Here is a 26,912-nt window from a genome sequence, read left to right as displayed (position 1 = left end):
CAGCACTTTGGGAGGCTGATTGGGGAGGATCACTTGAGGTCAGGAGTTAAAGACCAGCCTGGACAACATACGGAGATCCTGTCTCTATAATAAATAAATAAATATTAGCCAGGTGTGGTGGCGTGCACCTGAAGTCCCAGATACTTGTGAGGCTGAGGCAGGAGGATCACTTGAGCCCAGGAAGTCGAGGCTGCAGTGAGCCATGATTGTGACACCGCACTTCAGCATGGAAGACAGAGCAAGACCCTGTGTTGACAACGACAAAAAGCAATAATAGATATGACAAATTATCTCAGAAACTAGACTTTTTAAGAGTTGAATTAGACAAATACATGTTGATAAATCTGTATAAGAAAAAAAAAAGCCAACATATGTAGTAGCGATAAGAAAGGAGCAGAGATACAAAAAAGATAAAAAGAATTTTGAGATAACATATTCACTTCCTTTTAGGCATTGATCAGAATTGAAAGCAGCAAGAACTCAGGGAATTTGGCATCCCTTCCCATCCTTCCCTTGCTTTTGCTCTGTGGCTTGGGGTCAGATTTTACACTCCTTGCCCTGAAGCTCCAGGTGGTTTACATCTCCCTGGCTGAGGAGGAAAGCGGCACTGCTTTTTATCTGATGTGGAATTTAGCTCATAATCTTGGTGCATTAGGCAAGCACGACCATATAACAGTGAGTGTGATGTTAAACCATGTCTCATCACCTTCCCCTCCATCTCAGCCATGGTTGGGAGCTTCTACCTCTGGACTCCCCAGACCCTTTTCACATAGTGAATCCAAAATGTTCATGACCTTTTCTGATTCCTGCCCTTGGGGTGCTTGGGAACCAGATCCCATCAGTGTAGGAGAGATGACCACCCAGGAACTGCTTGCAGACAGCACAGGAAAGGGTCAGCACTGCTGGGCAAGGTGAGGTCTCCAGAGGATGCTCTCACTGGGGAAAAGGGTCTCACATGCAACTCGGCATATGGCTTTTGGTGGTACTTCTGTAATTGTCAAGGTCATAGATTCTCATGGGGATAGGAAGCTGGACACATCAGGAGCTCTGGGCAGGGCTGGAGGGCTGGACAATGAGTCTTTTTCCCCACACCATCTCACATCCCTTGGTAATGACTGTGGGGTTAAATGGCTTTCAGGATCTTTTCCAGGCTGTGTAGGAGATCGTTGATTAGTTGCATCTGGCACAGATATCGGGGAGGAGAGGGTAAGTATGTGTGCTAATGTTTGTCATCCTTGGCTTAAGAGGGCACTGCCCTGCAGGTCCATAGGGTACCCAACAAGGGGGTTGCCCCCAGCTTCATCATGCACCCAGTGAAGGCACCTTCAGGGACTTCTGCAAGAATCCTGTGCTTCCACCAGCTGACTTCCCAGGAAGCCCAAGAACAAGAAACAAGAACAGTGTAGAAGCTGGCGGAACAACAATGTCATTTCCATTTGAGATCCCCTAGGAGATCCCCACCATCCATCTGTGCACCGGACCCTCTGCTGGTGGCCTGATGGGTCCCAGGCAGAGTCCCTAAACTGTCCTGAGTTACAGGTTCCCAGCCTGAACCCCTTTGTCCTTTTGAAATGACGCGAGGTCATCACACGAAAATCACAAGCATATACTTAGTAGTGTTCTCCAAAAGAACCTGATTCAGAGAAAAGTCCAGATTCTTTCCCTGCTGATGCTGAGGAAAGAAAAAAGTGACTGCATTTGAGAGAGATACCCAAAAAGTCCGCAAAGGGAACCCAGAGAGAAGCCCACAAATCCAGCCCCGACAGGGCTCGGGCAAGAGCAGCAGCAAAGTCCTGTCTTGAGGGGATTCTGAAATTGCCTCGGCCACAGAGACCTGTGGAGGGGCAGGCAAGGAGAGTGTGGGGGTGGCCTGTGGGTCCTGCCCTAAAGAGATCACATTCTAGGCTTGGAAAGGAGACAGATGTATAGACAAGGAGCAGAGCATCCCGCCAGTCCCCGGGGCTTGCTGTGCACTGAGGGCTGTCGGGATCCAGCATGCTGAAGACCTGCGGTCACGCAGTAGGAGCGTGCGTCTGGCCCTGGCCCTGCAGGGTGGGGGCACAACCCCAGTGAGCAAAGCAACCAGGACAATCGTCGAGAGGAGGAAAGCGGGAGCATCCGAAGTTGCAGACAAGGTGCTCATGTGATCCCACCACTCACCTGGCTGGGCTTGAGTCTCTCTGGGTTTGCTGGCCTTGTCTTGGAGGCAACCAGCAGGGGGCAGCACGAGGCCACAGCACCAGCTGCACATGGCCACTGCTGCCGGGGCCAGGGATACTCAATTATCAGAGAAAGGAGGCTGTGTCCGTAACCATATTCCAAAATGAGTTTTGCTGTTTCTCTCTTGGATCCAGCTTAGAGCTGAGTTAAGCTCCAGAGAAGGGAATTGGGTCACACATTTTGGTGGAGGACTCAGATTCATTCATTCATTATTCATTCACTTATTCATTCAACAGTTATTGAGTGTGTATGTGGTTCCCAGCCCTTTTCAAGGCAGTGGGACTGCAGAAGTGAGTGATATGGTCTTGTACTAATAACAACAGCAGGGACTAATGTTTGCATGGCATTTATTGCAGGCCAGTGCTGTCCTAATTGCCTTGCTTATATCAGTTCATCTATTCCTTCAACAACCCTCTGAGGTGGACACTGTCATGATCCCAATTTTACCAAGACGGGAACTAACACACAGAGAGTGTATTATGTGACTTGCCCAGGTCACACAGGTGCAAACTGGTAGAACCAGGATTTGAATCCAGGCAGTCTGACTCCAGAATCCTTACTCTTTTTATTTTTATTTTTATTTTTATTATTTTATTTTATTTTTTTTTGAGACAGAGTCTCACTCCATTGCCCTGACTGGGGCACAATGGCACGATCTCTGCTCACTGCAACCTCTGCTTCCTGGGCTCAAATAATCCTCCTGCCTCAGCCTCCTGAGTAGGTGGGATTACAGTCATGCGCCAACATGCCCGCCTAATTTTTTGTATTTTTAGAGGTGGGGTTTGGCTGTGTTGCCCAGGCTGGTCTTGAACTCCTGAGCTCAGATGATCTGCCCCCTTCAGCCTCCCAAAGTGCTGGGGTTACAGGCGTGAGCCACTGACCCCAGCTAGATTCCTTATTCTTAATGACTTTGCAACACTGACATAACTTAAGCAGATAGCCAAGATGATATCAGATAACCATAATTCTTAGAAGAAAATAAAATGGAGTGTTGTAATGGTGACTGGGGTTGGAGCAACCTTAGCTTCAGTGGTCAGGTAGGGACTCGGGTGGTGGGGGGAATGGTGACATACAATCCAAGACCTGGCAGGGGAAGAGGATCATATTAGTGCTCAATCTCTGTGGACCCCCCGGTGTCCTAGAACACAGCTTAGGACCCCTTACAGAGGACCTTTTGTCCATGACCAAGCACCTCAACTCCTCACCCAGAGTCTCCGGGGTCAGCCCGAGCCAATGTTCTTCAGTGGGGAGTAGGCAGAGGTAAACCTGGAGACAGGCTGGGGAGGTAGGGGCTGAGCCCCCGCCAGTGGCAGGATGCTGAGAACATCAAGCACTGGGTTCTGGTTTCCATACTGGATTGCTGGTTTCCATACAAGCACTCAACACACACTCACACATGTACAACAATACACACAAACAGCCCCAAGCCCATGTGCACACAATTCCCCCCTCAAGGTCTCACGCATCCAGTGCCTCACGTGCTCTGAAGCTCCTCAGAGCTGTCTCAACCTCAGACCTCCTCCCTAAAGTCACAGGAAGCAGTGAAACCCTGGAAATAGGGAAGGTTTAGGTCTGCAGTTGGTTTTCACTAGCGGGGCGCTGGTCCGTTGAGGGAGATTATTTGGGGTCTGACACTATACAGTTAAGCAGCACTCCCTTCACCTCATGAGGGGCCTGTAAGGAATGGGAAAATGCTGGCTTCCAGGCTCCAGGGCTGCACTGTACGGTGAGAGGCAGGCAGAAAGCCACTGTGGTGTCTGCATTTCTTGGGGCAGTGGTTTCAAAACTGGCCAAACATCCGGTTCACCTGAGGAACCCATGAAGATGACAGATTTCTGAGGTTTTCACTCACTGGGTCCAGAATGAGGCCAAGAGCCTATGATTTTGTCAAGCATTCCAGTCAATTCTGCTGGTCACTACTCAGAAGAGAGGTACAAGGTGGCACAAGCATAAGCCAGGGCAGGGCAGGCTGGGCTGTGGGTTGGCAATGGCTAGCCTCACCCAAGGCATTTGCTTGGTTAATGAATGGCTGCTTGCCCCCAGCTTTTTTGAAACATACACCTGTGTTTGCTGGACAAACCACAGGTTCATAGTTGGGGACACTGTCTATTCCTCACACAGTGGCCACCAGGGTTGTAAGCACCCTTTCCCAGATGGCCCACTGCCCTGATCTCCTCCCCTCTTCCCAGCAGCCCATCAGCCACTCAGGGTTACCAGGACAACATCGTTTTATAAAATCTACTTCCCGGCATCTCCAGCCCAGGCCCTCTGATAGCAACCAATCCCTTTCCAGAATGGAAAAACCCTGAGCTTTGGCAGGCTCAAAAGCACAGACCAGTTACATAATGACAAGCAAACAGCCTTCCAGGTCAGAGGCTCTGCTGTGACACAGAGGGCAAGTCCAGGGACTGACTGTGACCCCTGGCACTGGTCCCCCTCTGACAGCCACAGAGAAGGGAGGCTGGCTGGCACCAGCAGGAAGAAGATTTGAAAGATATGAACACTGGGCCCTCAGCTGGTACCCCATTCCCCATCTTCTGGCTTGGACATGGATAAAGTGAAGCAGCAGAGCTGTAGGACTCTGAGAAAACAGTGTCCTGCAGGCACAAGGCCCTACAATTCCAGGATTCAGACCCAGGCAGGAGCCTGAGCCTCGAGTGTCACAGGCTTTGGTAGCTGTTTTCATTCAGACACAGGAGGCAAATTGTGATTATACTTGCTGTGTCTCTACTTCTGCAGACATAATTTAAATCCGAAGTTCCCACCTTGAGGCCAAGGTATATTTGTCATTCTAATTTACCCAGACTGTCTTTTGTAGAATTCAGAAGTAGCTGATATTTAGCCCACAATTACTTTGGACAGAATTGCCAGGAAACAAAAACTGAAAACAGGGCCGGGCACAGTAGCTCATACCTGTAATCTCACCACTTTGGGAGGCCTAGGTGGGGGGATCTCCTGGGCTCAGGAGTTCGAGACCAGCCTGGACAACATGGTGAAACCTTATCTCTACAAAATAACACACACACAAAAACTCAGATCCTGCCACTTTGCTCCTGAATTGGCTCCTACACTCTGGACTTGTGTGTGACAATTGATTCATTAAGTTTTAGAGGAAAGAAGTCTTTAGTGACCTATTTATAGATAGGGAAATGGAGGCCCAGGAAACCGACATGCCACTGAGTACATTAGTCAGGGAGCTAACCTGAAACCCCTGTCTCCTGCTCCCAAAATCTGAACTTCCCATCCACCAAGCCATTTCTCCTTCGGCCCTAACATAGTGCACAGAGACCGAGGCCTTCTTCTCCCCTGGGCATGGCCCAGAGCCAGAGCCCAGGCTGCACAGAGTTCTGAACACCAGCTTCCCTTCCAGGAATGCTCTGAGCATGGCCTTCAGGTTCTTACTCCATGCAAGAGGCAGCAAAGGAAGACTGCAGCTAGGAGATGTCTTTCAGCTCTGCGGTCCAAAAACCAACGTGAGAAATGAATGGCAGAGACATCTCCTCCATTCGAACAAACGGCAGGGCTCAAGAGGTTGCTCACAGTCATCCCCACTCCTGCAGTCTCAGGGGAATGAGCTGCCTGGGGCTCCTCAGGCCTGTCCGTGGAGTGTGTGGCTTCACTGGGTTCCCTGTGCAAGAGATGTCAATCATTGTCTGTTCCTTAATAAAGGAAGCTGCCTGTCCTCAGCCGTTCAGACAGAGAAAGAGGGAGAGAGAAGGGAAGGAGAGAAGTCGGGAAGGGAGGAAGGGAGGGAGAAAGGAAGGGAGGAAGGGAGGGAGAAAGGAAGAAAGGAAGGAAGGGAAGGAGGGAGGGAGGAAGGAAGAAAGGGAAGGAGGAAGGAAGGATGGGTAGGAGGGAGGGAGACTGTTTGGAGGGTCATCTTAAATCCAAAATTTTCCTCTTGTCCCAGGTCCTGGAAGGCCTGGATAAACTGAAGTTTCAATCTTTGGACTTTCATGAGAATCCTGTATCTTTTTTAAAAGCTGTTTTTCTTGGCATCTTTCTTGCAGAAAGAGAATCCTATATCTTCAGATTAACTCCACCTTCTCCCCAGCTAACACACACCAGGCTCTCACTGCTTGCAGATAAGAACTGAGAAATGAATACAGAGAGGCAATCTGTCTCAATTCCAGACTAAAGGAAGAACAGTGTGGCAGCAGATACATTTAGAGAGAGGAGCTCAAAAGAGATGGTTAGGTGCTGGATCAGGGAGAGAACAAAGCCCGACCCATCCAGAAGCACTGACCATGGCAATCTTCCTTACCATCAAATAGAAATAGGAGTCTTCATGCCCTGCCAGGTGAGCTGAGAGAAGAGAGAATTAGCAAGGAACCTCAAAGTGCCAGGGGGCAGGGAAAGGAGGCTTATGAACTGGGGAGAAGGAGTACAGGGCATTGGTGGCATAAAAAGCTCTTAGAGCAGGAACATGAGGCTGTAGTCATTGAGAGATAGGAGGAAAAGAGTCCCGTAGAAGGAACTAAGAGAAGCAGTCTGAAAGGGGGATGGAAGAATTGGAGCTTGCCCTGCAAGATTTTTTGCATTTCCCTGACCGAGGGGCAATCATTGCATGCTGGAAAACCATAACAACCAGTTATGTACTTCACCCCTATGTGAAGTACATAACTGCATGTTCTACAGTTTCATGGCTGAAGATATTGTCCTTTATGCACAGTGTGGAAAAGGAGGCATTCATCTCAGCACTGACCACGACAACCCTCCTTAGCATAACATAGGAAGGACGATGTAACCATCACCGGCCAGTTTTCTCATTTTCATCTAGGCTGTGAGAACATTCAGGTGTAACATTCATGCTTGGTGTAACATTCATGCTTGGTTCTGGTCATTCTTTTGTTCTGGGTCACCGTATATGTGTGTCTTTTCTCCCTCTAAAAAGTTTCTGGTCCTTCCTTTCTCTATTTGCCATACACTATGGTTCATATGTGCTTCTAAAGCTTAACCAGTGTCCTGTTCCCTCGGTAAGCAGTGTGGATTGTATTGGAAGCAGTTAATTATTTTGCTGTGCATCACGAAAATACTCCTCTCATTGACCCCAATTTTGGCACCTTTAGAAGGGGTTTTTGGAATTGAAAATTCAGTGATATGGCTGTCTATGTAGGCCAGAGGCCAAGGACACAGGTCCTGCCACCCTCACCCTGATGGTCCCAATGCCCTTGGCACGTCCCAGCCCTGCCCGGATAGTCCTACAGAAGAAGGACAACTGAGAGAAAGCATGCTTGATATTCACTCCTGGGATCCCACCATGATCCCACACTGTGTAATTTTTTGATGCATCCATTTGACAAATATTCATCAAGCACTTACCAACCATGTGGTGATTTTCCTGGTAGTTCAGATACAAAGAGAAGTAAAATAGAAAACCAAGATTAACTAAAGCTTTTCACAGAGTTAAAGTGGCCCTTAGCCTTTTTATGAAATATTTTCCCATCTCATTGTGTGAATGGCATACGGCAGGTCTGGAATCCATTCCCTTCCCTTAGTTTGCTGCACAGGCTCTATGTCATCTCAGAGCCACCCACCCTGAGATAGCTGAAAAACAGCCATGGTCATGAGCAGAACTGTGGGTCCCAATGGCATCAGAAGCCTGCTCCGAAAGTGGATGGCATTTGTTGGCCAGCTGGGCCCGCATAATTTAACCCGTAGGGTATGAAGCTCACCTTTGGGGTAATTTTCCGCTTGTCTGTACTGATAATGGGCCCACTGAACTATAATGGGAAGAGGGTGTTACAGGGAAAGGAGGGGCTGCTGGCCAGGTGGGGGACTGGAGTAGGGGTTGGGGCTGAGACTCATGAGACTCACGAGGCCTGCGGAGAAGGGTACACTCTGCATGACAATTTGCCTCCTCACACGCAGCTGACACACCTCAATATCGAGTCAGCATCCTAAAATGATGCAGGAGGAAAAGCTGTTCTTTGGCCTTAAGGTCACCCTAGTGACTAAAGGGTGGCCACAGCTACATGGGCAGGATGAGAGGATTCCTAGGACTAACAACTGTTGCCCACGTAGGATATTGCCAAGTGTTACAGTCAGGTAGTGAGAGGTTGTCTGGCGCAGCTCATGAACAACTAGAAACAATACCTGTGTCCTAGAGAGGTCTGGGCTCACCATGGAAGGAGTTTAGGCATTCAGTAGTGGCAACTCATGGAGAAAAGGAATAAGATCTCTCAGTGGCTGGGATCTACAGCCTACTCTGACCCAGGTGTGGCCCCACTGGTTCCTTCTGGTGGGCTTCAGTGTCTTCACCATGAAATGAGAGGGTCAGATGTGGCCCTTTCCAGGGTAGACTCCGACCCAGCGCTGTGCTCCTAGTGGGATGGTGGTGTCCTTTGCCATGTGCTGAACCAGAACCCTTGTGCCTGACAGCCAGCCTCTTCTTCTGTTCTCACCCCACAATCAAATATATCCCCTTCATTTTCCTCCCATCCACATGAAGGAAGGACTCAACACAGGGCAGAAGAAAACCAACATTGAATTCTCTTCCAAAGCAGCAGAGAGTTCAGCAGGGAGGCAAGGAGGGGGCTGAGGAACGTGCCTCTTCAGGCAGGAAACTCACAGATGGCAATGAAGGAGGAGGTGCAGGAGATGCCATTCCAGAGCCCGTTGTTCAGGAGAATAACGCAGTCCTCCCCTGAGCCGTGGTCATTTGGCTCATCCTTCTTCCAGTTGCTGTAGGTCAGCCTCCTGCCCGTCAAGTACATGAACTGGCCTTCAGTTGCCTCATCTGTGATGCCCAGGAAGGCAGTGTCTTTGGCCACATCCTGGATGGCCTTATTCTCCTCGGCATTCTTGGGGGCAGCCACTGTGGCCTGGAGCCCAGCACACAGAGCCTTCACTTTGGAGAAAGGCATCCGCTCACCATTGGTCACGAAAAGCTTCTTCCCAGACATTTTCCCCAAGGAGAAGGCTTACACTGAAACCACAAATGGTGAGTGAGGCTGGCTGGGTTTGGAGCCCAGCGCAGGACAGTAGGCAAGCAGTCTGAGTTCCCTGGGAAGCCAGACCTCTGAAAAATCACCCTATGCCCAGCAGTTCAGGCCAGAGCCTGGTCAGGAAGTAAGCCTCAGCTGCAGAGCCTGGGAAGGGGCATCCAGACTCCTGCAGACAGCCCAGACTCCCCTGGGTATCCCACCTTGAAAAAGCATCTGCTAAAACCTGCCCCAGCACAGGTACATATAGGGAGACGGTCTTGGGCCTCACTGCAGGCTTGGGCACCAGGATAAGGAAGAGGCAGGGACAGACATCAGAGCACAGTAGATGACAAGGAAGGAGCACAGACTTTGGAGACAACAGATCTCCATCCAACCCTTCCCCTGCCACTTCCCGGCTGTGTGACCTGAAATGAGTCACTAACACTTCCTGCACCTCGGTTTCCTCACCTGTCAATAAAGCAAGTTCAACAACCACAACTGAGGTTGCTGAGAGGATTGAATGAAACCATCTTATGGGAAAATGCCACCCAGCACAGGCCCTGGTGTAGGACGAGCGCTCATGAATTAGTTCCCCTCCCACCTCCTCCAAATCTAGAGTGCGCTGAAGAAAAGAGTGAGAGCCAAGAACACATTATGGGCAGAGAGAAAGCTCACGCTTCTTCGTGTGGTCCAGTTCTGATCTCAGGCTCTATAGCTTTCTCTCTAAGTTGGCCAGCTTAGCCTCAGCAACTGCAACGCAATAGGGAGAAGGTATTTATGGAGAAGACCTTAATTTGGAGAGCGGAGCATTTTGAAAAAAGCTTACTAAGAAGAATGCTTATTCCAGGAAAATAAGAATGCAGAAGAAATAAAAAGGGGAAAATGACTACATTCCTCCTTCCCAGCTATACCTCCACATCCCTTCACAACCTGGAACTTCAGTCCTGGACCCCCGTCTCCACATATGGCTTGCATATTGTCATATTGTAAGAATTCATAAGAAAATACTCAACTCATTACCCTCCTTTTTGAAAATTTTTCTTGTAATTCTTTCTCATTTCTCATTCCAGATACACTTTTAAATACCTTTATTGTTTTGACAGGCTGGTAGACAAATATGAATAAGTGGATTGTCATTATTGTTTTGTTCTTACTGAATTTTGCTCTATTTTACTCTGAACTAAGTTGGCTGTGATGTTCCCCATCAGCCAGGGGTCCTAAGAGGCAGAACATTTTCGTGCCACTCTTGTGACAATGGACGTAAACCCAACCCCCTAAAGGGCCTTATTTCTTCCCTGGCACCCCGGAGGTGCACACTGAACTGTTTCCACTGAAGAGAAGCCAGGGCCCATCTGCTAAGGGGCCTGATGAGGGAATGGCCCTACATGGCTTGAACGTCTGCACCTGGGCACCTATGGGAGTCTCCTCAGGCCCCAAGTAAAGTTGAGAGGGCCAGGCGCACTGGGCCTGGATGCAGAGTTGGGCATCTTCCCATGAGGCAGCAGGAGAAGAAGGAAAAGGGGACCTCCCAGCTGGTCCTTCAGCTCCCCAGGCCCGGGACCCCCAGGCCACACATGCTGACGTGTGCCCCTTACCTGAATTGTCCCCACGATCTCCTTTTTGGCCCCTAGGTCCTGGAATTCCAGAAGTCCCTGTGTTTCCTGGGGGCCCCATCTTCCCAGGAGGGCCCTGCAAACCTCTGAGCCCTTGACCTGTTGCAAGACAAAGGGAAGATGACCCAGTGGCTGTCACTCTTTTTTTTTTCCCCAAAAGCTCAATGCTCCATTCCTGTTCACCCCCGGCACAGCCAATGAGCCAGTGATCTGACCCAAAGAAGAAAGACTCTCCTGCAACCTAGTGGAGGGCCTGCACCAAGGCCAGCTCCCCAACCAGGCAGGACACCCCTCTGAAGGGACAACCACACACCCCCAGTTCCTGTGTGGAAATATGGGATCCCAGAGAGTCCACGAACAGCTTTGTTTTGGAGGCAATGGCATTTTACAGGGGTTGTTCTGAGTGTAGCATGGGTCCTGATGAAAGGGGAGCCTCCCCAAGTCTGTGCTTTAACCCTCGTGTGGCAGGCTCAAGCACAGATTTGCTTGAACACCTGCCGGAGGTGGAGATTTAGGAAGCCACAGAAACCTGTCCCAGACCTGGCTCTCCCTTTTCCCCCTTGGGTCTATCTCGCCCATCTCTGCCTGGGGTGCCATTGGTGACGGGGATGCCACAGGTAATCATGGAGCAGGTCTTCTGGGTATCTGCACAGGCTTTTGTTTTGGAGCAGGAAGCTGTCACCACAGACAGGAGAAGGACAGGGAATGATGGAAACAGGAACATGGTCCTTACCTTGAGGTGAAGAAAGTGAAGGAAGGGAATTTCATCCCATCTCATTTAAATAGCATTTGCTACCCACTGTGGTGTGCTGGACCCTGTGCTGGGGACAGTGGACACAGAGGGGACCATCACAACCCCTGGCTCTGAATGACTTTCAGGCTACTAGGGAGACTGGTGGGTAAAAAATGTGAGAGTTAGATCAGTGCTAAAACAAAGGCAGGTGCAAGATGAACGCGAGCCCATTCTCCCTGAGGTCCCAGAGCTCCTGTTAGCACAAGTCTTAGCAGTTAGGCACGTCCTACTTGACAGCCCACAGGGCTTGAGGATTATCCATGAGCCCTGGGTACAGTGGTCCAGACAAAGGTGAAGAGAACTCATTGCCTGTGTGAGCTTTGGCCCCTGGATTGCTCGGATTTCTTTCTAAAGTGCCAAAGGAGCCATGGTTTCCTTCTTCTTCCTTTCCTATGGAAGGAAAGAGCTGGACTTAGACTGGAGCAGGAGACCTGAGGTCCCACAAGTTCCATCTCTTGGCTGGACTTGGGCATGTAACTCAGTTCCCCGAGGGTCACTATACTGTCTTTGTTTCAAAGGTCCCAAGGCAAACTTTTTAATAATTGTGGTCCCACTCAATAGTCAAGTTCACTTACTTTATGGGTACATTTGTGGCATATTTTAAAATGTGAAGTTGAGTGCATTTCACTTGAAAACCAAAGGCATGTAATGACAACATGTTATAGAGGAAAAATTATTGATTTGTGTAAATAGGCAGATCTTGTTTGTATTCTAGCTCCATCACTTACTAGTTTTGTGATATGGGCAATTTATATCCTATCTGAGCCTGTGTTTCCTCTACAATATGAGATAATTTCTACTTTGAAGTACTGTTATGAGGGTTAAATATAAATTACTTTCTGGTTTATGATTTTGGTGTATACTATTTCCATGCGTGATAGTTATTTTTATGAATAAGATTTTAACAGTAAGCCATAGAAAAATACAATGTAAGACTGATTCTTAGAATCTATCAAAACAGGTAGTAAAAATGACTTAAAGAAACATCTAGCATGGCAGTGACTAACATTTTGAAAAGCTTAATTTTTCCATTGAGAACTACAGCCCAACACAGTGTCTGTGCTTCAGTGTTCCTCTTGTCAGGAAGGATAATATCTGTGATGCATGAACTAACTCTAATGAAAATTTTTATTCTTAAAACACAACATATTTCCCAGCGCAGTACATAAGGTCTTTGTGCTCACGTCAGCATTGGAGATTAATTTCTGGGAAAGAAGTAGAGAAACTGCTCATTTCTATAGACATCAAAACACCAAAGTAAAAGTGAAAATAAAGGTACACTGCAGACTTTTTTTTAAATGCCTAAACTGAAAAGTATACCTATCAGGAAACATCCAACTCATGAATTACTTTAAATATGTTTTTAAAACAGTGTGCTTGTTTTATAACCACAGATTCATGCTATTAACCTGATATTCCCCAGTGGTTGCTTTGTGGGGCTCAGTGCCATCCTTGGAGCAATAAAAAGCATTTCTTCTGCACCAGTAAAAAACTGACTACTTCTCACATAAACCTTGGAGGGCTTCCCTCAGTGGGCTTAGTGATCAGCAAATCATGTCAAATAACCCTTTTTGTTATTTTTGACATAATAATGTTTCTAGCAGACAGTACTCTAGAATTCCCAGATTCTTAGCTTTAAATTCAATATACTCTCTTGTATTAAAAGTCAAGCTATTTATTCACAGTAGTTCTTAGGTCCATGTTACATTTTACACATATATGTGGATGTAATAGCTTTTTCCTTAGAACTTTTTAAAAAATAGAATTCAGTAAAAGTCCTATATTTGTATTTTCTATGTGTCAAGAACAGATAACCATCATTAATGTGAGCCAAATATGAACTGAGGAGCTGAAATTAGGAGGAACTGAAAAACACCTGAAATAAATCTTCAAGTAATGAAGGGGAAAGTTTACTTTAGAATTAGTGTGTCAAAAATGGGAAAATTGGCTGGGTGCAGTGGCTCACGCCTGTAATCCCAGCTCTTTGGGAGGCTGAGGCATGCAGATCACCTGAGGTCAGGAGTTCAAGACCTGCCTGGCCAACATGGTGAAACCCTGTCTCTACTAAAAATACAAAAATTAGCCGGGCATGGTGGCACATGCCTGTGGTCCCAGCTACCCGGGAGGCTGAGGCAGGAGAATCACTTGAACCTGGGAGGCAGAGGTTGCAGTGAGCCAAGATCACGCCACTGCACTCCAACTTGGGCGACAGAGTGAGACTCCATAAAAATAAATAAATAAATAAATAATAAATAAAAATTTTTTTAAAGTCGTTGCTTTATTTTAAAAAAATTAATAGTTTCAAAATGTATACATGTAAAATCTAACTGGGAATACTTTGTATCTACTTGCAGCCCAAGATTAAGTTTATTCTCAATTACTAGGAGGTTTGCACAATAGAGTATATATTTAATCTGTATGACTAAAAGCCTCATTGTCAATGTGACTATGTCATCATTACCACATTTGTGAATCTCCTGATTATAACCTGCACAGATGGTCTATCTACAAGGCTCTGGGATAAGAAACTTGCTGTCTGTCTACAGAGGAAGCTGTTTCACTTCCAGATAGTTCTGAATATTTGAAAGTACTTGCTGATTTAGAGTCAAATTATATCTTGCTGTAACATCCACAATTTCTGAACTTACATTTGAGATAAACCATGATTAGACTAGACCATGCCTTCAAATGACAGACTCTCAAAATGTGATGCTTTTTTTTTTTTAAACTGCACGTCCAGGATACTCTACCTGGAGAAAAACATAGCTCTCATTAACCTTGTCCAGACATTAAACGTATAAGAGAAATTCATTATTTTCCTTGTAGCCAAATTACTCTGCTAAATTGTTTTTAGGCAGGATTAATAAACCTTTACTGTAAAGGGAAAGAGGCTAAGATTTTAGGTTTTGTGGGCCATATAATCTCTATACAACTATTCAGCTCTGCTGTTGCAGTGAGAAAGCATTTATAGACAATACACAAATGAATGAGTGTGTCCATGCTGCAATAAAACTTTATTTACAAAACCAGTCTATTGGCTGGATATGGCTTGCAGGCCATACTTTGCCAACCCTTGGTTTACAGCCTAGCTAGCTAAACACTGCTTGCTGTAGTAAAATCTTGCTTTTTAAAACATATGTCTCTCATCCTAGCATTGTCATTATGTGTGTGTGGTTTATTGTTAAATATGTAATATTTAAGGGTCTTTCCTATTTAGTTTTATTGACTAAAAGCTGTTTCATAATTATAATACACAGACATCCATATAGGTTTTTATTTTATCAACCTATTAGCTAATCCTCAGAGTTGTTTCACTTTTCATGTGTTTGACAGATGAACATGTCTAAAACACTGATGAAAATGTTATCAGAATATAAACAAAAATGAATTTTTCAGGTTAAAACCATTTTATTTGTTAGTAATATGTAACTATTAACCATTAAATAATTTACCAAATTATTCCATTACCTAATCCATATTGCTCCTTCTTGTCCACAAGAATATAGTGAGGTACATTACCAAATACATACCTCTGACTTTAGTGGGCCTTTAATGTATTATTAGAGGATCCTGATATCTGTCTGTCTTAAGGAAATTAAACTCATCCCTAGTGATTATACTTTCTTCATCTAACACTATAATATTAATAACATTTGAAAAAAATAATGTCTAATAATTAACACTAGATTTACAGAGTATTTTTAGGCAATTTTCTAAAATTGTCTGAAAAATTTGGCCAGAATCAGTGTAAAATTCACATCGGAGCTTATGGAAGCCAACTTTATTCCACTCTAAAAGGACAACATTTTATATTTTTAATTTTATCTTTTAAAATGTTTTAACATAAAGGTAGTGGAAGACGTTACTAAAGGAAGCTTAGACAGTAACGTATTTGTCGTCTCAGTTAACACAAAGACCATAGATGGGGCAGATCTGCAGGATGCAAAAACGTTCCTTTTTCTCACCTCATAGTAGCCATATGGCTACTGCAATTCCCTGGTTTCATGTGCTTACAAAATGTCCTTTAGTTAAAAACAAAAAGAAAGAGAAAGAGAGAAAGAAAGAAAGAGAAAGAAGAAGGAAAAAAGATAGAGGAAAAATAATTTCTTCATGTGTCTATTTAAATTAACAAAGACGTGAATTGTCCCAGACCTCCCTGTGATGAGTAATTTCATGTGTCAGTTTTACTGGGCTAAGGGTTGCCCACATGGCTGATGAAACATTATTTCTGAGTGTGTCTGTGTTTCCAGAGAAATTAGTATTTGAATAGGTAGACTGGGTGAAGAAGATCATCCTCACTAGTATCTATGGGCATCCTTCAATCTATTCAGAGCCCAAATAAAACAAAAAGGCAGAGGAAGGGTGAATTTAATCTGTCTTCTTGAGCTGGGACATCCATCTTCTATTGTCCTCCGATATTGGAACACCTGGTTCTCAGACTTTTGGGCTTAGGTTGAACTATATCACTAACTTTCCTGGGCCTCCATCGTGCAGGCAGGAGATTGTGGAACTTCTCAGCCTCGACATCCTTGTGAGCCAATTCCTCCCAAGAATTATCTTCTTCTAGCTATCTCTGTCTCTATCTCTATCTATCTCATCTGTATCAGTATATGTATCTCTGTGTCATCTATATCTATCTCTATCATCTGTATCTTTATCTCATCTATCTCTATCTCCATCTCTACCTCTATGTCTACATCTACCTTAGCTATCTATCTCAGCTATCTATCTCATTTATGGTTCTGTTTCTCTGGAGAACTTAAGTAACATAGTCCTTATCTTACAACTCACTTGCCAGCTTACCATGATTATAACCAAGTTGATCACTTCAAAGGAATACTAAATAATATATATTGTTTACACTAAGAGTTAGCTAGCCACCCTCCTCAAGCTGAATCTGGCCCCCAACTCACTTAGTAGAGCAAGCAAACTAAATGTAGATTATACATTTTTTACTCATTGAAAAAAACCCAAAGAATAACTTATCATGACATGCTAAAATTTAAATTTTGATATACAAATAAAATTTTATTAGAACACAATTATATTTATTCATTTACATTTACATTCTTTGCCTATGGTTACTTTTACACTAATGCAGCAGAGTTTGTTAGTTGAGACAGAAACAGGCTGATAAAGACCAACATTTTTACAATATGACCCTTTACAAAAAAAAAAAAATTGACACTTGGTTTAGACTGATCAATAATCCTATGGGAGGATTTTATTGATTTTCATTTGTAGCCAACCAAGCACATTTTTTTTCTTGGCTAGGATAAATTTAGAACATCTATGTCCTTCCTTAAAATAGCCCCACATACTTGAAAGTCTGATTCTCTCATAACTATATTTTTTTCTCTGCTGTTAAAATTTGAGCTCATTCTCTTCAGAAATAAAGAAAGTAACAAAATAGAAACTAAGCAGTCCCATTTTTATTTTGCGATTTATGAGGGCCTATACCACCTAGTGGTGATTTAGTATGTATTTAACAACCAGTTCACTGAGAAAAACTGCTGTATTTTTAGTTTGCTTAATTTAGTGGTGTTGAATATTTCCTCTATGACCAATTTTGGCTTATGAATATGATTTCTTTGAATGCAAAGTTGGGAGGAGGTGAGCACTGTGTGCTCCTATGAGGAGTTCCATCTGGCTCAAACATAAACACTATTAACATCACTTTGCTCTAGACATGTGATTCTCCTTCATAATGCTTCTTGCATTAACTGCAATATAAAAGTTACAATCATTATTATTTTTGAAAAACTCAATTTGTATAAGACTCGATAATATTTTAATATGTATACATTTGATAATAATTTTTATTGATTTTTTCTTCTTTTTTTTGTTTTTTTTGTTTATTTATATAGTTAGTTTTCACATTAAATGGGAGAAAAATTGACATTGTTCAATTCACACCCAGGGAAATTCTGTGTGAATGATATCATATTATATTTCTTTTAATGCTCTAAACAATGTTGTGAGGTAAGTGTTATCTCTGATTTGCATATGAAGAAACATATTCCCAGATTAATACATTGCCCAGTTTCACACAGGGAATAAATTGGAGCACAGGAGTTCTATATAGATAGACCTGTATGACTTCACAGAGTGAAATGGACGGATAAACAATTCACTTTCCAGGAGAAATCACAGGACAATGGATAACAGAAGAAATGATGGGACCAGGGTAATAGTGGATGTTTTGTATACAAAAAACTAATTTGGGCAACAAATAAGGATATAAAGTCACTGAAGCAAAATATATATCACCAAATCTAAAAGAAAATATGCTATTGGTAGGCCATGGCTACATTATAAAAAACATTTCATTTCACATAAAGCATGAATACTACACTATGACTATGAGTTAATATTAAAAAATTGACCACATAAGAAATCGGAGAAAAAAGTAACAACACTGTGGAAAGCAAAGAAAATTACTGCAAGATGCAGCTATCACCACCATCTCCTGGCCACATACAGACCTCCTCAGAAGCTTAGATGAATAAAGGGAAGAGACTGGAGTTATTAAAATTTGTTAACTCAGAGTAAAAGCCTTCCTGAGCTGAGGCTAGACCTCTGAGGGAGAGATATGTTCCAACTGCTGCTGTTACCTCTGAAGAGGCACTTTCTGGGGCTCTGAAAAAATTGGTAAACTGAAACAATTACTGCTCCTTGGGCAAGGGGATGTTCTTGGGAGAATATCGGCAAGGACAGCAAACAAACAGGAAAAGGAGACCTATTCTTCCATTCTTTTGCCTATGTTTCTCTAGTACCTCCCAATAGCAGAACCTAGCAGGATCCCACTTGAAGGAACTTGGAAAACGTAGCTTGCTGATCCCCGTCACAGCATTAGAGCAAATTTATTTCAGAGAAATGTGGCTAAAGATCAAGATTATTAGTAAATCAATTTTCTTACCTAATTTTTAATCTGTATTGATTTCTTATAACATAAATATCTGTGATTACAGAGACCTCAGTATTTTCTTTTTCTTCTGTAGCAGCATTTCAATCTTTTTTGAATTTCTACCTCTCTTTCACTTCTAGTTCACACCATGTGAGAGCAATGGACCTAATCATCATGGGCAGTGGTCATAATATGTCTCAACCTGTCCAAAATAAAGATTAACCATATGGTTTATTTTGTAATATGCTCATGATCCAACCTAGTGTATTGAGAAACTTAACTAGAAATTTTGTTGAAATTATTGAGGAAAACAATGTTCATTTTCTGAAAAAGTAGCTTAGCTAGTAAGACATAAGCTCAGTGCTACTAGTGGCCATCTTGATGTGGAACAATACTGAGAATATTTCTTCAAGTAATCCCACAAGAAATGTGTGCAAAACAGAAAAGGGAAAGTTACAATGAGAAATTTCTTACATACTGTATTCAGTAGAGCCTCAGGGTAGCTCTAAATCTAGATACTTAAGAATACTATTGATAATAAATAACACTCATATAGCAAATACTATGTGCTAAGCATTCTTTCATATGCTTTATAAGATTAATATATCTAATACTCACAAGGACTGTATGAGATAGATATTATTGTCCAGTTTTATTACGTCCTGCAAATAAAATGCCCTGACAAATTATATTCTCTCAGACAATCATCTTTCTTTTGTTTGCAATCAACATTTTATATGTATTCACTTATGTATCAATCCTTTGATTCCTCAAAATTTATTTAGGGGTATATAAATATTTTGCTACCACTAGAATTAGCAAAAATTTAAGGTTAAATTTTCAAACATGTTATTGCCCTCATCATACTGTAGCAAGAATTAGTAATCAATGATACACTAAGGATTAAAGTCAAGTCCTAGAAAAATCTCATAGTTAAAATATTAAATAATATTAAGTGATACAATTTGGTCCCAAGTACGCATTTCTAAAGAAAATATATTTTTCTTATGAAAAGTTCTATAAGATTTGATAAATTGAGATATTCCATTTCCATCACTTGAGTATACGGTTTCTTATTTGTTTTTTTGATCTTTGTTGGTTTGTAAAGTTTGTTTTGTCTGAAATTAGGATTGCAATCCCTTTGCAAATAATTCCTCAGGTAGCTCATCTAAGCTCTGAAAGGCTACAATAGCTCTCAAAATCTCAACAGAGGGAAATAAAATACTTCACAGCTGTAATGATTTTCTCTCTCTCTCTCTCTCTCTCTCTCTCTCTCTCTCTCTCTCTCTCTATATATATATATATATATATATATACTTTCTAAAAAAGTATAGTGAGAATACTAAGTATTTGGGAACTGATTTGAAAGTCCATAACTATTAAAAATTGCAAGAATTTTTATGGAGCATATTTATTTCAGAAATCAGTATCAAAGCCTGAAAAAAGAAGTCTTAAATGTCTACATAATTCTCACAACGTTATATATATATATAATATATGTAAAAATAAGAGAGTTGGTCAAAATTGCTCATATTAAACATGTTCCAATTACTACCCTACCTTAAACAAGAACCTTATAAATTCCTAAAATATATAAAATGTAAGGAATGGTACAAATAATGCTTCACTTCTTGGAGATGAAGTGAAGATGAAACATAAACCCTATTTATTTATCCCAATTATTCCATTTCACATACTCACAAAGGACACTATTCTGTCACCATTTAACCCTGTTCCCCAAAATCTCATAAATGCAGTTTCAAAAACAGCAAAACTATGCAAATTAAAATGTGATGATGTTACCAAACATGCTATGTAATTAGGGACATCTCCCAATGCTTAACCCTCCAAATAGTCATTCTGTTACAATCTATTACCAGAGGGTGTTAACAGTAGAAAGAAAGTAACAGTCATCTTTATCTGTAATTTGCTGCTTGCTTGCTTTGTGTACCATAGTTAAAACTATTCAGGACCAAGAGTGTTATAAAATTGTATTTTTCTTTCTAGATAATATGGTTTTTCTGTATCATTTTCAATTGATATCACTACCGATCTATTTTTCATGACTTACCACATACTGGCTTGTGTTGTTATTCTGTATTGATTTAGGTTATTGCTAGCAATGTAGCCGAAACTCTGATTTCCAAGATCAGCAGCTACTAACTATGATTTCTCACCCAGGAGCATGAGGAGGGAATATACACAGCTCAGTGTTGTTGTTGTTTTTTTTTCCCTTAACATCAAAGGTGTTAGGGAAGTAATCAAGAACTACTTTTACTGTGAATGTCAGCTTGTGAAAATTGACATGATACAGTTCCAGCCTGACTCCCACTGGTCTCAAATACTTGATTAGAAAGAAGGCACACCATGAAACAGTTGGGGCTTGACCTTTAAAATGAAAATGGAATATAATTAGATTTGAAAGTGTAAACGGGCATAAAAGGGAAGGCTTAGTGAAAAATGATTATATTATTAATACTTGAAATTAATATTAGAATTAACAATTGAGATGTAAATAATGTTCTTTTAATTTAGAAACTGTCACACTTAGCAGAGCTAAAGGAGCATTTTTCTTTTGTCGGAAATGGAAATGTGCATAAAATATGTTTGTTTCAACCTTTACAAAAGTGTCCTTCAGATCCCATAATGTATTACTAAATAAAACTAAAATCTAGCCTGAAAAATCTCCATACTCACATACTTAGCAGGTAAACAAACTAAAAGTCTAAGTTTAGTAGTATGTGTCCCCGTAACAACAGCTTAGTCTCAGCCAATCCCAGTAGCTATACTTTAACCACTCATAGGCGGCCAACTGGTTAAACCTTGTTTAAATAAGGCAAATGCTGAGCTGTAACCAATCCAGCTATTTCTGTACCTCAGTTTCGGTTTCTGCACATTACATTTTTTTCCCATAGATATTTGACCATGTGACAGTGCCAAAGTCTTTCTGAAATTTCTTTGATTCTAAGGGCTGATTTGCAAATCATTTTTTTTCTTTTCTCAAGTAAACTCTCTTAAATTTGTCTAAAGTTTTTCTTTTAACAGTATCAATAATTTACATATTTTGAGGTGGGGAATAAGAATATACCTCATAGCACCTGGGTCCCAATACACTTTAAACAAGAGAGGTTTCCAAGAAAATTGAGTGAAATATAACAGGCTTTCTCTGGGACTGGCCCACAAAGAAGGGCATTACATAATGATAAAGTGTTGATTGAACAAGAAAACTTCACTATTCTAAACATTAATATTTATGCATCCAAAACAGGAACACCCAGATTCATAAAGCAAGTTCTTAGAGACCTTCAAAGAGACTTAGACTCCCACAAAATAGTAGTGACAGAAAAATGCAAAGTTAGGTAAATTGATAAGCATCATTTCATGTATCTATTATCTCTTTGTTAATAGTTCTCATTGCACTTTAAAAAAGGCTAGTTAAAATGTTTAAGCATTTCATAAACGTTCAATTCAAAATAGAATAACCTGCTGCTAAATGACTTTTAGGTAAATAATGAACTTAAGGCCAAAATTAAGAAGTTCTTTGAAACGAATGAGAAAAAAGATACAACATACCAGAATCTCTGGGACACAACCAAGGCGGTGTCAAGATGGAAATTTACAGCACTAAATACTCACAACAAAAAGTTAGAAATATTTCAATTTAACAACCTAACATCACAACTAAAATAACAAAAGAACCAACAAAAAACCAGCCCCAAAGCCAGCAGAAGACAGTAAATAACCAAAATCAGAGCTGAACTGAAGGAGATTGAAACACAAAAGTATTCAAAAGATCAATGAATCCAGGAGTTGGCTTTTTGCAAAAAAATCAATAAAATAGAAACACTGCCAGCTAGACTAATAAGAGAGAAAATCCATATATAACACAATCAGAAACAATGGAGGAGATATTACCACTGACTCCAAAGAAATACAAATAACTATCAGAGAATATTATGAATACCTCTATGCACACACAAGAAAATCTAGAAGAAATGGATACATTCCTGGACACATACACCCTCCCAAGACTGAGCCAGGAAGAAATTTTGAATCCCTGAAGAGGCCAATAGTGAATGAGCTCTGAAACTGAATCAGTAACAAATAGCCTACCAAAAAATAAAAAAAATAAAAAAAAATAAAAGCCCAAGACTAGACAGATTCACAGCTGAATTCTACCAGATGAACAAAGAAGAGCTAGTACCGTTCCTGCTGAAACTATTCCAAAAAATTGAGGAGGAGGGACTCCTTCTCCTTCATACCTCATTATGTGAGGCCAGAATCATTCTGATACCAAAACCTGGCAGAGACACAATAAAAAAAGGAAACTTCAGGCAAATATCCTTGATGAACATTGATGAAAAAATTCTCAACAAAACTCAGCAACTGAATCCAGCAGCACATCAAAAAGCTTATCCATCACAGTTAAGTAGGCTTTATCCCTGGGATGCAAGGTTGGTTCAACATACAGAAATCAATAAATGTGATTTGTCACATAAAGAGAACTAAAGACAAAAACCACATAATTATCTCAATAGATGCAGAAAAGGCTTTTGATAAAAACCAACATCCAGCCGGGTATGGTGGCTCACGCCTGTAATCCCAGCACTTTGGGAGGCTGAGGCAGGTGGATCAAGAGGTCAGGAGATCAAGACCATCCTGGCTAACATGGTGAAAGCCCGTCTTTACTAAAAATATAAAAAATTAGCCGGGCGTGGTGGCAGGCGCCTGTAGTCCCAGCTACTTGGGAGGCTGAGGCAGGAGAATGGTGTCAACCTGGGAGGCAGAGCTTGCAGTGAGCCGAGATCATGCCACTGCGCTCCAGCCTGGGTGACAGAGTGAGACTCCATCTCAAAAAAAAAAAAAAAAAGAAGAGAGGTGCCATGTGTACAAAAATCAATACATATTTATGAACTTTTTTTCATAAAAAGTAAGCCTCTGCCTCAAAAAAAAAAAAAAAGGAAAAGAAAATATGGAAGCTCCAAAGATAAAGAAAAGCCTCAATCCAACTATATTATTGCAATAACAAGAGATTTCAGAGTGTACATTGCCATTCTACCACTGGAAGTTTGTTTCATCTTCCCTCACACTCGGAAAGGTCGCCATCTCCCAAAGCAGACAAATTCTCACAGGAAAAAGAGAAAACGCGCACTTCCACCAGCATGTGGCTTCGTAAGGGCAAGCATGTGCACCTGGCACATAGGAGGTACGTGCTATTTGTTAAATGATATGTTCACAGTGACCAGGCCTGCTACGCCCTTCCAAGGAACATGCTTGGCAAAGCCATACAGCAGTCAGGATAAGATATGTATCACATCCTTATCTCTGGGAACTTACCCTTTTCTGAAGTTATAGCTAACTTAGTAAAAGCATAAGAGAAGTAACATGATATGACAAAATTTAACATGTTCCACTCAAGAAAACAACAAACACACGCATGTCCCTCAGATGACAACAGCCATGCCAACTCTATGTCTGTGGTGGCATCCCCTACCTGACACGATCATCACAGGGCCTCTGATCTCAGTCAACTTCTGCCAATGAAGTTCTGAATGAGGCATTATATCAAAGTGCTCTTTCCAACTTTGGAGGCCCCGTCACCACTACCACTATTGGTGGGGGCTCTAGTGGAGTTCGATCAACCACTGGAATACGATGCTTTTTTGTCTTCAAATCCTGAGTCCTATTCATTTAAAAAAAAAAACAAACAAAAAAGTAAACTCACTTTCAAAATAGAGTAAAAGTAGACTTTTAAAATATACTTATAGATATCAGTACTTTCGTATATTTTATAGAGTATAACAGACAATATATAAATATAATTAACTTGTCAATTAACTTGTTAACTTTTGAGCCCCATCCAAATAACTTCTGTTCAATAAAGATGTAACAAGATAACTTCAATAGTATAGAGAGTTGAAAATTAAACACTCCTTAAATCTGACTGTTTTATGAGTGATTTTAATAATTTTTTAAAAACCAAAAGGTAAATACCGAGGCAGTGCATCATAACAGATAAGAGCAGAGGCTCTGGAGTTAAATTTGGCTCTCCTACTTACTGGTTATACGATTGGAGGTAACTTGTTTTCTTGACCTCAGTTTTCTTGTCCATAAAAAGAGGGCAAGAATGATTCCTACTCTGGTAAGGCTGCTGGGAGGATTTAGTTGAATAATGTTTAAAGTACACTGCTAAGAATATCATAAGGACTCATTCAATAAAGCTATGTTAGTATTAAATGTTGTAATTTTTGTATTTTATATTACAACTTTGTAAAACATATCCAGTGGGAAAAAGCACACTTATCACCATAGAAACAGTTTAAAGTTTAGGAAGAATCAAATTCTATAAATTCTTGTATCTTGGGCAAGAAACACCAACCAGTGTGCAGATGCTGGAGGCAAGGCAGCTTCTATGGGAAGTCTTCTCACGTTTTAGTAAAAGCCACACAGCATGCATCTCCATGTCCTTTGGAGCTGGACTAGACTTGTGAATCCAAATGTCACCTGTGAGAGGCTCCTACTATTTAAAAAGAATCAATGAAAGAAGCATCAGACTGTAGCTAAACATACCTGTGAAAGGATCGAGCCATCCACACAGCAGACTGAACTGCAAAAGCTTTGGGATTTCTCTTCTGGGCATCTTCTTCGTCTCCTAGCTGGAGATCCTGCAGATGCCGCTTCTTTTTCTTTTCATCTTTGGGTCCACTGTTTTTCTTTCTTTGTTTCTTCTGGTCCTTAGTCTCCATAGTGGCTATTTACCAATAACAAGTAACTCTAACCTACAAGGAAGAAGGTTGGGGTAAGGAGGTGGGAGAAGCATTTTACAATCCAGGCAATACCCAGGGAAAAACATTAAATTTCATTTATTTCTTTATGAAGACATGATGTATTTGTTCACTGAACAAGGGTAGAAACTGCTTAACCCTCCCCAATTTCATTTATCTCTGTTATGCTATAAATTAGATGAGTTACTTCTGCTAAGATTACACTTTATGATTAAGTTACTTTTTATTCGTCTTAAGTGTCAACATCATCAGTATCTATTTCTGCAAGGATAGAAATATTCTGTATCTGTACTTTTCCACCATTTAGCCATTAGCCACATGTGGTTACTGAAAATGTACTTAGAGAAACTGAAAAAAACGAATTTTTAATTAATTTCATTCCAACTCTAAATAGTCACATGTGGCTACCATACTAGACAGCTCAGACCTAGATATTGACTGGACTAATGAAGTGGTTTCCTAACTTAAACCAAAACTTAAATTTTAATAAAAAATTTAAAATGCTTTTATGAACTTCCAACATGATCACAGTATTACTTTTAGTACCTGTTGACTCTGCAAAACTCCTAAATTACAACTCATCTACATACATTTGAAAAATAGCAATATCTGCATGTGTGAGATATGACTGGTTCTAAATGATGCCTGGAGACCCTATGGACTTACAGAGACCCTTCCAGTGATTTCTGAGGTACCTGGGAATCTGTGGCCAATAAATTGGTAATCACTGAATTAGTGAGTTTTTTTTTTAGAATATCGGGCTGCATAAAATCTGACAGCTTGATTGAAAAACAGCGGGGCAGGGTGCCACTTCATTCAATTAAGGTCCTGTATTAATTCCGTTTAATAAATGTTTGTGTCTGTCTATGATGTGCTAGCCACTGTGCCAGTAAATGGATATACCTATGATCTGACTTGCAGAGAATCCAAACTAGTATCTTTCGTGCCATGCAATAAGGGCTACATTGCAAGGCTGCACAGGGTGCTACTGGGGCACAGAGGTGAGTCAGAGGCTTCCCACAGACACACACACGAGCGGAAATAGAAAGTCTTTATATATCACCATAATGTCAAGGAACACCAGCCGGGAGTTAGGAGAGCTGGGCACTAGGAACTCTTTGAAACCGAATAGCTGTGTGATTTCAGAGATTATGTTGCTTCTCTACTATATTTTAGTTCCGAACTTGTCCTAATGTTTCTCTCCCTTTTCTTCTTGGGAAAAGCACAATTTGGGGTCAACACATTCGGCTCAGGTCTAAGTCGCCTGCCGGGACCACGTCGCCAGGAAACCACGTCTCCCCGACACCTTCCCTCCCCGTCCCGGCTCTCTGCAGGGATTCACCCCGTCCCTCTCCCAACGACCCCCGGGCACACCTCTGGCAGATGCGAAATATGCTGCTCCTGGGGAGCAAAGATGAGCCGGAGGACCTTCCCACGCGCACGACTCGCGATCTTCCCAGTGCCCCAGAGCCAGGGACCCCACCGCCGCCTACCCCAGCCCGCGGCACCACCGAACCTGCTCACAGCTGCAACTCCTCAGGTCCGCTTGGACACCGCGGGAAACGGAAATTCACTGTCGCGCCGACTCGCCGGGAGGGAAACAAAAGGCAGAAAAAAAAGACCGGTGCCTGGAGGACTTTCAGGGTAGAGCTGGAAGAAAGACTCGTC

General features: G+C 42.0%; 2 pseudogenes across 2 annotated transcripts, besides 1 other annotated feature; both read right to left on the bottom strand.

Moving 5' to 3' along the window:
• Positions 1-8: 8 nt before the first annotated feature.
• On the bottom strand, positions 9-26,912 carry BMS1P21 (BMS1 pseudogene 21; annotated as a pseudogene). Its single transcript, NR_033857.1, has 6 exons — positions 26,761-26,912; positions 25,030-25,238; positions 23,954-24,142; positions 10,742-10,858; positions 9,822-9,896; positions 9-84 (listed from the first exon to the last, which is right to left on the bottom strand). The product of NR_033857.1 is annotated as a BMS1 pseudogene 21 (transcript).
• Positions 8,691-11,632, bottom strand: MBL1P (mannose binding lectin 1, pseudogene; annotated as a pseudogene). Its single transcript, NR_002724.2, has 3 exons — positions 10,742-11,632; positions 9,822-9,896; positions 8,691-9,148 (listed from the first exon to the last, which is right to left on the bottom strand). The product of NR_002724.2 is annotated as a mannose binding lectin 1, pseudogene (transcript).
• Positions 26,741-26,840: an enhancer, noted in NCBI's record as "active region_3648". NCBI's record gives its function as "activates an Ori minimal core promoter by ATAC-STARR-seq in GM12878 lymphoblastoid cells {active_cell/tissue: GM12878}" and the evidence as "EXISTENCE:reporter gene assay evidence [ECO:0000049][PMID:35858748]".

The sequence above is a fragment of the Homo sapiens genome, chromosome 10 (genome assembly GCF_000001405.40).
Source record: "Homo sapiens chromosome 10, GRCh38.p14 Primary Assembly".
Taxonomy (NCBI): Eukaryota; Metazoa; Chordata; class Mammalia; order Primates; family Hominidae; genus Homo; species Homo sapiens.
Note: the sequence above shows the minus strand (reverse complement) of the source record. Positions and strands in the feature narration are given on the sequence as shown.